The 11,767-nt window shown below is 41.1% G+C and overlaps 1 long non-coding RNA gene across 2 annotated transcripts, besides 1 other annotated feature; it reads left to right on the top strand.

Annotated features, from left to right (window-relative positions):
• Positions 1-660: 660 nt before the first annotated feature.
• On the top strand, positions 661-11,165 carry LOC105372157 (uncharacterized). Of its 2 annotated transcripts, none has more exons than XR_001753472.2 (3): positions 661-702; positions 875-992; positions 10,814-11,165. It is a non-coding gene; the product is annotated as an uncharacterized LOC105372157 (long non-coding RNA). The 2 variants fall into 2 exon arrangements; XR_935559.3 differs by lacking the exon at positions 661-702 and adding an exon at positions 10,569-10,665 and having other exon boundaries at positions 911-992.
• Positions 9,842-11,041: an enhancer, noted in NCBI's record as "BRD4-independent group 4 enhancer chr18:59328486-59329685 (GRCh37/hg19 assembly coordinates)". NCBI's record gives its function as "activates an origin of replication core promoter dependent on BRD2, P300/CBP, MED14 and CDK7 cofactors, and independent of BRD4, by STARR-seq in HCT116 cells {active_cell/tissue: HCT116}" and the evidence as "EXISTENCE:reporter gene assay evidence [ECO:0000049][PMID:35650434]".
• Positions 11,166-11,767: the final 602 nt, after the last annotated feature.

The raw sequence follows: 11,767 nt of genomic DNA on the forward strand, positions 1-11,767 counted from the left end.
AAACACTGACACCCATCTTATGAGATTACATCTAAAAAACAGTAAGCAGCATTTCTTAGCATTCAATACACAGTAGCTCTTATGCTTTTATTAATTATGACTATTTACTGATAACACAAAAAGTTTTTAAAACATTTTGAAAAGAAACAAAGCCACCTGTGGAAGTCAATTGACAAAGACCCATTATTCAAAGTGCACTGAACATATTTGTTAGAAGCAAACGAAAGGAGTCCCTCGTAAGAGGCCTAAAACCAAGAAACAAATATTCTTATTCAGATGTCCTGAAGCAAGCCAATATGGAGCAACCAACCAGCCAAACAAAAATATCCTCAGACCTGGAGGAGGAACAAACTCCAGGCCAAAACCGTTTCTTTGTTGACACAAATTAAGGGGTAAAGCCAATTCCTTACTGAAAAAGAATTGAAATTTATAATAGAACTCATCTTATATCTTTAATCATTTATCATATATGATATAAAACCTGTAAATAAGCATTATTCTAGAGTGGTTTCAGTCATTTTCAAATTATTTGTTTGTATAAGATCTGGAGTTAATAAACCCCTGCAGGTATTTATTCAACCAGAGAAGCTGCCTGTGGAGCTGACTGGCCTCTCCCAGTCAAGGCCCCGGAGAAGAATGGAAAAACCAGTTCAGCTTATTTCCTACTGGGAGTGAGACAAGTGGCGCAGTCATGGGAGAAAGGTCACCTAAAGAGAAATTAACTGAACAGTCAGGGCATAAATCAAAGGGGAAAGAGTCACTTTTATACATCCGTCTCCATGATTTTCATGTCCAATTTATCAACAAGTTCTCAATTGTTCCACCAAGAGTACTTGAATCCGTCACTCCTTTTTTTTTTTTTTTTTAAAGACAGCATCTCACTCTGTGGCCCAGGCTGGAGTGTGGTGGCACTATCACAGTTCATTACAGCCTCAACGTCTCGGACTCAGATGATCCTGCCACCTCAATCTCCCAAGTAGTTGGGACCACAGGTGAGTACCACCATGCCCAACTAATTTTTTTTCTATTTTTTTATAGAGACAGGATCTTCCTAGGTTGCCCAGGCTGGTCTTGAACCCCTGAACTCAAGCGATCCACCTACCTTGGGTTCCCAAAGTGTTAGGATTATAGGCTTGACCACCATTCCTGGCCCATTGCTCTATGTTCATGGCAAACACCTCTCCTCTCTTAGTTCCCTCAAATCAATTCCCCATTCAACAGCTAGAATGACCCTTTTAAACCTAAATGCATCTCATTGCATTCACTGCTTTGACTCCCAAACCCTTGATGGCCATGGGGCTCCTGCTCACTCCTGTCAGTCACTCTCCTTTCAGTTTCTCAAACACGCCACTCCCTTGGGGGCCTTCATACAGCTTGTTCTCTCTCATTGCTATTCTTTTCTCCTGCCTTCTAGCCCCAACCCATCTCAAAAGTGATTTATTTATTTAGGTAGGCCACTGCTGACTGCCCTCATTTAATTAGATCTTTCATTTCATTTTTCTTTTTCTTTTTTTTTTTTTTTTTTTTTTGAGACAGAGTCTCACTCTTGTCACCCAAGCTGGAGTGCAATGGCACGATCTCAGGTCACTGCAACTCCACCTCCCAGGTTCAAGCGATTCTCCCATCTCAGCCTCCTGAGTAGTTGGGATTATAGGTACCCACCACCACACCTAGCCAACTTTTGTATTTTTAATAGAGAAAGGGTTTCACCATGTTGGCCAGGCTGGTCTTGAACTCCTGACCTCAGGTGATCTGCCCGCCTCAGCCTCCCAAAGTGCTGTGATTACAGGTGTGAGCCACCTTGCCCAGCCTTATTTCTCTTTCTTCATTTATTACCATTTTTAATTTGTGTGTTATATGATGCATATATGTAGGCATGTATGTTATGTTTAGATGTATGTATGCATGTGTGTTTATACATACGTGTGTGTATGTCTATGTAAATATTTTAAAATATCTGTCTCTCCTTCAAGACCTGTAAGTTCTAGGCAGGTAGAAACCATCTATTATGCTTATCACCATATACCCAGCACCTAGCAGAGTACAATATGCCATGAAGGCAGTCAATAAATACATGTTGAACAATTAAATAAATGAATGTGCATGGTTTACTTGAGAGGGAAGAAGGAAGAGGCAGAGATGTACGATTCATAGTGTAGCCACCAGGATAATGATTTTCCTGGGAGAGGAAAACAATATTTAACCAGTTGTCAACAGATGCAGGAAAATTGAAAAGCAGGTATTTTTATTTAAAACAGAAATTCTACACTTTCTTTAACTGTATGGTACACCCCTCACAAAGACTTAAATGAAGGTATGTCATCACAATTCACAAGTAGAAATTTCTTCTTCTTACAAAGCCACAAGTAGAAACACTCCTTATGCTTCTGAACTCAAAAGTGAGATGATTTGATGACAAGAACCAAGAATTTGCTGCGGAGAAACAGTGGCATCCTGTTAATTTGTGTGTTTTCTCTGCTTTCCCAGGAACAATAGGCTATTTTTGCCTGTACTTGTGAGTGCTAACCTACCACCCTAGATCTCATTCTTTTAACAGTTGGCTTTGTTGCTGATTTGCTTTTCACCCCTTTAACTGATAGGCTTGGGAGTAAGCAGAGATAAATACAGGCAGTGTTAAGGATACAGGACTTTGGCCCCCTAAGGTGATAACAAAGACTCCCTTCCAATAAGAACCTTAGAAAAGGGAGAATTGTTTCCAAAATCCCTACCCAACTGTTCTATATTCCAGAAGCTATTAATTTTCTCTGCTCTCACCATAGGAAAATGTTTAGTTTCAAGGGAAACAAGCCATTTAGGCAGTTGCTTAAGGGTGAAACCAAAATAAGTCAGGAAATTTTAATGGAGCCACTAACTGTTCCTCCTGAAATCTAATAAGGATGGCACTCGGATGGAAATTCAACAGATAGATACTATCGGTGTCAGTCATGGAATGCAATGACATACAGCCTAATGCAATCCAGCATTCTGAGGCCGGGGGAGAACACTGCCATTTGACAAGGCTTTGGGGGACAGACTTAGAAACAGTTTAAGCAGCAGAGGGCAAGTTAGGTAAGCTGTGTGCACTTGGGCTGCTGGAATCCAACAATCCAAAGCCATCATCTTCTGTCTTCTTCACATAATGGAGTCTCATAAGGTAGAGGGCTTTGGCCCACCCCTGCCTGATGGAGTGTCCTCAGCCTGCCGGACTTCTCAACTTGTTTACTGATTCCTTGAGAGTCCAGCCCTGCCCAGGTTCTGAAGGGGTTAGGATCAAAGCAGTAGGGTATGTTCAGAATGTGGCATAATAAAAAGCAGTGCAACTTTCTAAAATGTTCCAGTGAAATGAAAAAGAAAATTAAAAATTTAAGCCTCTTAAAATGTAAATGGTGCCAGTGTGCCTTGCAATTTGAAGACTCTTGCCCATTAAAAAGAAAAAAAAAAAATGATGTCCAGAAAGCTGAGTGGTTATGAGATAAAGTACAGAGAATATGAAAAGTGCTAAGAGAGAAATTAGGCAAGACCTTCATGTTGCTCCCAGTGTGGCATTATCAGCTCATGCCACGACCCTGGGTCTCCCTGTCCTCATTGGATTTAATGGCTCTCAAAAGGTTTTGCTGGGCATACTGATGACCCTAAACATCTCTTGAAAAGTGTTATAAGAAGGACTTCTATAAATTCCAGCTACTATTAGTTTAATCAATTAAGTCTCAACCCAAAATAGAGGGAGAAGAATGTCATTTTTGTTAGAGTATAATGTTTCAGGACACTTCTACCTGCTTCCCCCAAAAAGGCATATGCTAATTTCTCCTATTTGAATGAGATGGGAAACTCTGGATGACCGGGCCACCTTCCATGAATGGTGAACATATGTCTTGTCAGCCTTCGTTCAGCAATTCTTTCTGGCTATAGCCAGTCTTTGCCATCCACATGGTCTGATCTTACAGAGTAGATGCCCCCATTGTGCTCCCAGAAACCACTAAAAGCATAGCTTAAGTGTTCCTGCTTTTACTTAGCCCAGTCAGAAGTAAATGCTTCTTCTGATGTAGCCCCATATCCTCTGGGCCGAACGTCTATTTAGCATGCCCTTTACCATGTTCTCTGCATCTGTGTGTCCTGCTAGGCTAGGGGACCCACGGGACCCAAAATGAGGTCTTCTTTAACCTTATATCACTCACATTGACCAGCCTAGTGCCTGGCACATAATGGGAATTTCATTCAATTTTCCCTTAATTGAATATAATTGACTTTTTTTTTTACATAACTCTTTTGGGTTCTAGACATAACAGCTAAAAACAATATTTTGCTGCTTCAGAATTGGAAAACTGGAAATCTGCCACTGAGGTGAGCAGAAATTTCCACCAGGTTATTTTTCTTCTTTGACATTAGGAAAGCAGTGTTTCCTGACAATACTACTCTCCTATGTGATGAAACAATCCGAGAGTTGGAACAGGACTGTGCGGGGACAAACAACATTTTTTATTGTGACTTGAAACAAATCAAAAGGACTTTTTCAGCCTCCCTAACACAGGTGGCATTCAACTGCTCACATATTTAATGCTGGTATAAACAAGAAAAAAGAAGTGGTTATTTTGTTGCTTAGAATTTTTTTTTTTTTTTTTTGAGACAGAGTTTTTGCTCTGTTGCCCAGGCTGGAGTGCAGTGGCATAATCTTGGCTCAGTGCAACCTCCACCTCCTGGGTTCAAGTGATTCTCTTGCCTCAGCCTCCCGAGTAGCTGGGATTACAGATGCCCATCACCATGCCTGGCTAATTTTTGTATTTTTAGTAGAGACAGGGTTTCACTATGTTGGCCAGGCTGGTCTCAAACTCCTGACTTCAAGTGATCCGCCCGCCTCGGCCTCCCAAAGTGCTGGGATTATAGACGTGGCCACCACACACAGCCCATTGCTTATATTTCATGCATTTATTTAAATGTTTAAATGATTTCAAACATTCTTATTCATTTAAAAGTAATAAATAGTTGATGAAACTCTTAAGTAAAAATGAAACTGAAGACTATGTGTAATATAATTCACCATTGTTTATAAACAGAAAAGGTTTGGAAACAGGCAATTATCTATCAGTTAAATAGGAAAAGGGAGAGGATTATGGATAACTTGTGTTTTCTGATCTATTAACTTTACTTCTGCTTAATAATATTAAAAACTAAAATCATTGAGTACTTACTATGTGCTAGATAGTGTTTTAAGTACTTTACATTGTCCAGGTCTTCTTTAACCTTATATCCCTTACATTGACCAGCCCAGTGCCTGGCACATAATGCGAATTTGATTAAATTTTCCCTTAATTTAATATAATTGACTTTTTTTTTTTTTAACATAACTCTTTTGGATTCTAGACATAACAGCTAAAAACAATATTTTGCTGCTTCAGAATTGGAAAACTGGAAATGAGCCATGGCTCATGCCTGTAATCCCAACACTTTGGGAGGCTGAGGTGGGAGGATCACTTGAGGCGAGGAGTTCAAGACCAGCCAGGGCAACATAGCAAGACCCCACCTCTATTTTGAAAATTTTCACATTAAAAAAAGTATTTTACATGCGTTGACTCTATGAGTTAGGATTTATTATCATCCCCATTTTATGAATTGAGACACAAATTGGGTGAGAACTTACCCAAGGTCACCCAGTAGTAAATAGCAGAGCTGTCACCTGACCCCATAGTCTGGTTCCCAACTTTTAGTCACTATGCTATATTGTCTCATATTCTGTATTGGTCATGTAAGAATATGCCGACTTCCTGAGTTTTAATAATTGCAAATACTTTGGCTGAGCCGTGTGACCTTGGTTGAGTGATTCAACTTTTCAGGACTATGTAGTATGGAACTTAACCTTGCTCCAAAAGCTGCCTGGACTTTGCCCCTGGCTTCTAGGAGATAACCTTTATAGGAGTGTTTTTGCTTAGGGTGGGTATTGACCATGCCAGAAAGATAATCATGTGATTTAGGGTGGGAGATTTGGGTCATGCCCAGAGGGTCTGGGGACTGAAGACTGAGATAGATTCACAATGTGGGTAATCAGTCACTCAATCAATCATGCTCACATAATAGGGCCCCAATAAAAACTCTGAACACAAAAGCTCCAGTGAGCTTCCTGGTTGTTACACATGTACTGGGAGGGTAATATTATCCCAGTACTATAGGGAAAGGACAACAGAAACTCTGCATTTGGTACCTTCTTGGGTTTTATCCTATACGTCTCTTCCTTTGACTAATCTTAACCATATCCTTTCCCTGTAATAAACCATGACCATGGGCATTCAGGTTATGGTTTCAGTGAGTTCTGTGAGTTCTTCTAGCAAAGTATTCAAACCAGAGGGTGATGGAAACCTCCTGAACTTGCAGTTGGTGTCAGAAGTAAACAGGCAGTGAATAGAAGTGAATAGGCAGCCAAAAATGAAACCTTCTCCTGTAACTTTTTTGTTGGCCCTAACTCCTCACATTTCCTTAATTTCCTCATCTGTAAAATAACAATATTGAAAAAAAAATAATCCCTAAAGGTTCCCCATAGAACCAAATGCTCTGTCAAGAGTATTTTTATTTTAGCAAAGCTCTCCCAGAGACTAGAAACCCTTTACTCAAAAGAGCCCATGGTTGGGAGGTGGAGAAACAGGTGAGAATTTGGAATTGAAATTTCTCCTGCATAAATCACACTACTCACACCACTTACAGGTAAAGGAACTGCACAGGGATGACAGCTGTGATGGGAGGGGATTTGGGGGCAGGAAAATCCTCTTAGTTATGACTCTGTTTCTGTACCTAAATAAATTAGCCAGAGGGTTCTGTTCTATTGCAGGCTGTTTAGCTCAATGGAGCACACGTGCCCAAAATCCTGTTTCTGTTTCAGCCGCAGAAGTCAGACTCAGCGATATTCCTGGAAGGCAAAATTGCAATTTGGGACTTTACTTGGGGGCTTTCAGGTCTCACAGTGTCCTCTGATTTGGCCTGCATTCAATTGTCCCTAAACTTTGGGGAAGCCTCCACAAAGGAGCCTCTCAGCCTGGATGCCTCACTCAACTTTTGATAAAATATTTAAAATAATTTAGGCACAGAAGAAAGTGGTCTTCACAGAATTGTAGAGACTTTTGTTTTCCCAAGTTGTAATTCACCAAATGCAGGCGGTGGTGGGACCTCACTCAACGCTGCTTTGCCTATTTGCAAAATGAGGACACCTGTCACTCACTTCAGTCCTGGGTGAAGACCACAGACACCACACTCATCACCCTATGGATTCCAAGGACACTCTGTCATCTTAGTTCATGACAATAGCTTCTGGCTCATGCCTTAAATAATAATGATAATAATAACACCTACATTAACTTAGTCTTCCAGGCAACATAATCTCATTTCATCCTCACAATGGCTCAACAAATTAGATACTATTATTTTCTCATTTTGCTCAGAGCAGGAAAATGAGTTTTAAAGGGGTTAAATAATTTACCCCTGGTCATATAATGTGGTAAACAGAATAATGGCCCTCCACAGACATCCATGTCCTAATTCCTAGAACCAATGAATATATTACCTTACATGGAAAAAGGACTTTGCAATTGTGATTAAGGATCTTGAAAGGGTGAATCCTGGATTATTCAGGTGGACCCAATGTAATCACAAGGGTTCTTATAAGAGGGAGGCAGGAGAGCGAGGGCGATGATGACAGCAGAGGATGCAGTAATGTGAGGAAGGGGCCATAACCCAGGGAGTGCAAGTAGCCGGAGCATGCAAGGCACAGATTGTCTCCTAGAGCCTCCAGAAGGAGCACATCCTTGCTGACATCTAAATTTAAGAACTCCAGGACTATAAAATAATCTGTGTTATTTCAAACTATTAAATTTGTGGTAATTTGTTACAGTAGCAAGAAAAAACTGATGCATAGTTGATTGGAGATTTGAATTTGAAGAGTCTGCCTCCAAAGATTAGTTGTTATCTCTTTATCCCCATGCCAAGTCATCAGTCCCATTAAATCTGGAATCCCTATTACTGATATTTTCAACGTTCAGTGATTACAGTTCCTCCTCTACAGCTCTAATCACAGGAACTGCAAGTTACAGGAAGACACACAGTTACAGAGTTCTTCAGTCAGCAGAGCTTAAGAGGTAAAAACAGGAGAGGTGCGATGGCTCACACCTGTAATCCCAGCACTCTGGGAGGCCGAGGCAGGTGTATCACTTGAGGTCAGGAGTTCGAGACTAGCCTGGCCAACATGGCGAAACCCTGTCTCTACTAAAAATACAAAAATTAGCCAGGTGTGGTGGTGCACACCTGTAATCACAGCTACTTGGGAGGCTGAGGCAGAAGAATTGCTGGAACCAAGGAGGCAGAGGTTGCAGTGAGCAGAGATCACTCTACTGCACTCCAGCCTAGGTGACAGAGCAAGACTCCATTTAAAACAAACAAACAAACACAGGTAAAAACAAAGTCTGGCCAGATTGCTTAGGCTGTCTGAACCTCAGTTTCCTCACCTATAAAATTGAGACAATAACGGTGTGAGCCTCATGGAGATTTTGAAAGGATTCAATGAAATAGATCACTGAACACAGTGGCTGGCACAGAAAAACATACTGCAAGCATATTATTGTTTTAAATTCTATTGGGTGCTTTATGTTACCTTCTAGCCTTTCTATGGAATTTTAACTACAGAATTCCAGGTTTGCACTAGAGAGCACAAAGTTGGTGTTTTTTTTTTTTTTTTTTTTTCTTCTACGAAATGGGATCTCTCTCTCAGCCAGGCTGGAGTACAGTGGCATGATCTTGGCTCACCACAACCTCGATCCTCCCACCTCAGCCTCTTGTGTAGCTGGGACTACAGGTGTGTGCCACAACACCTGGCTAATTTTTGTATCTTCAGTAGAGACAGGGTTTCACCATGTTGCCCAGGCAAGTCTTGAACTTCTGGCCTTAAGGGATCCACCTGCGTCAACCTCCCAAAGTGTTGGGATTAGAGGCATGAGCTATACCCAGCCCAAAAAGTTTTCTAAAGAGAAAAAAATATATTCTTTCATTTTTATATAATGCTTTAGACTTAGCCTCCAGTTTTTCACTGTACGCATGAATTTTCTCCCTCAAAAATAAACTCTAAGACTTTTTTCAGAAGGACTTTACCGTCTATATCTTTGTGAGTTTAGCTTAATAATGGCTATAGAACCTGCCACTTAATTCAGTCATTCTAGAATCCAGTCAATTCTTGTGCTTCTGAAATGGGTTCTGATAACTCTTCCAGCTATAAGTGAGTTCAATAATTGTTAACCAGAGTTTGATGTTCAAGCCTAGCTTTGGCCAAAAGTTAAAGTTTTCTTCAGAGCCTCACTGGGCTTTGGGTGGCCTTCCTATCCACACATGAACACTTTCCACTGTATTTTATAGCAATACCTCCCTCCTCCCATCTTCTTTGCTATACCTGGTCTCCTTCCCTTTCATGGAAGTGATGGCGATGTGGTAAGCTGCTCCTCCAGGATTCACAGTCAAGCTCTAAACAGAACACTAGTCAGTGTAGCATTTGCAAAGGTGAAGTGTATCAGAACAAATGGTGTGCTGGGTTGGTGTCCCTGCCGAACTCCTGTCCACCCAGAACCTCAGAATGTGACCTCATTCGGAAAATAGGGTCTTTGCAGATATAATCAAGGTAAGAATTGAGATGAGATCCTACTGGATTAGGGTGGGCCCTAAATCCAGTAAGGGTTTTCTGAGAGACAGAAAAAGTATACCCAGTGACACAGAGAAGGCCATATGACAGCAGAAGCAGAGACTGGAGTCAGGCAGCTACAAATTGAGGGACTTGCCAGGGTCATCAACAGCCACCAGAAGGTAGGAAGAGGCAAGGAAGGATTCCTCTGAAGGGGCTTTCCCTAAGCTTCCCCTTCACCCTCTGCAGATCTACTGAAAAACCAACTCACTAAAGGAGATTAATTGGGAACATAGCATACAAATTTATTAATGTGTACACAGGGGAGAACCACTGAGTGATTGTCCCAACAACTCAATAGATTTCAGAAGCTTTTATACTGTCTTGAAGTTACAGAAAGAATGGGGGCTTGGATCATGGCAAAACAGGAAATGGGAGAGGAAGAAGAGGAGGCCTGTCTAGCAAAGGTGGTCTTGTTACATAGATAAAACCTCACAGGTAGCAACCCTCAGAGATCAGAGAGGGTAAATGTTTCTTTCAGATTTTTAAAATTATCAGATCCAAGTTAATCTTTCCTAGATCCAGAAAAGGGAAGGCTTTGAAGAAAACCTGGCTGCATCACACGCATTCTCTACAGATGCAAATCTTCCTGAAAAAAGACAGCTTTGCAGGGTCACTTCCTTATGCAGGACTTCTGTACAGCCCTCTCAAAATATGTCAAATATTTTGGGGTGAAATATTTTTATTTTCTTCACTTCCTTATGAAACCTGTGAAACAATATAACAGTCAGAAAATTCTGGTCGGGGGAGGGGGGAGATCTGATCTTGCCAACCCCCTCTCTCGCCTTTAGCCTTCAAGCTGCCAGACATTTAGTTTATAGTTTAAATGATAATACTTCTTCCCTGAAAGTCAATTATCTTTGTAAAGGTAATGAGAGATCACCAGGCTAGGAGGATAGAGAAGCCTGAATTCTGCTAAGGAATAGACATAAACAACTGCCAGCCATTATTCTGGAGGTCACAAGGTATGCAACTTCACCAATTACTCCAGCAGATAACATCACTATTATAGAACCTAAGACTGACCTTTGAGATATCTTTTCTGGTTTTTTGCATGTCTGACACCGACGGCTCCACCTGGACCCACCAACCACTCCTGTTGGCCTCACCCAGAAGTGATTCAGCACTCAGGATTATTGCCCACACCCCTACGATTGCACCCCCAAGCAATCACCAGCAAGCACCCAATGCCTAGCCATCCCCACCCCTTCCCCCAAACTACCTTTGAAAAACCCCTAACCTACCAGCCTTCAATGAGATTGATTTGAGTAATAACTCCATCTCCAGTGTGGAGTGGCCAGCCTCACATCAATTAAACTCTTTCTTTACTGCAATGCTATGGTCTTTGTTTGTGCAGCAGGCAGGAAGAACTCCTCAGGCAGTTACACTTCGAGCCTTAAGACACCTTGATGTCAGACTTCCAGTGCCCTGAATTGTGACAGAATAAATTTCTGTTGTTTTAAAACTCCCAAGTTTGTGACAGTTTGTTATGGCAGTTCTAGGAAACTAAAATAAATGGTGATTTTTGACGCCCCTTAAATCACCTCACTTATGGGAGTGTCCACTTCATCTACTCCAGGCTCACCCCCTCTTTTCCCAAAGAGAAGAAATATTTTGTGTACGAGAATATTTCTTCCTGATCTTCACTTTGCAGCATATGGACTGCAACAAGAGCGTGAGAAAAGCAATGCCAAGTCAATAAGGATTGCTTGTCCAGTGCACAAAACACCCTGCTTAGCATAAGAGTAACAGAAGCATTTCTTTGTCACTAGTTAGCTGTGTGACCTTAAGGGAGTGACTTAACCCTTTGAAACTTCCACTTTCTCAAAACAAATTAGTTGCACAATACATATTTAAGGTCCTTAATGTCATAGAATTACTTAGCAAATTATAGTATTAGGAGCAAAGAAAAGACAATAGGGGAAAACATGAAGAAGCCTTGGAAACTTGAGTACATCCTCCCTAAAGGAAAATAACTCCCACAAATGCTTAAAACGCACCCATTACATAGGGCTTTAATCATAGGATAATTTTGTGCCTGCAACTGCCTAATTTTTAGTACCATAG

This window comes from Homo sapiens, chromosome 18, assembly GCF_000001405.40.
Source record: "Homo sapiens chromosome 18, GRCh38.p14 Primary Assembly".
NCBI lineage: Eukaryota > Metazoa > Chordata > Mammalia > Primates > Hominidae > Homo > Homo sapiens.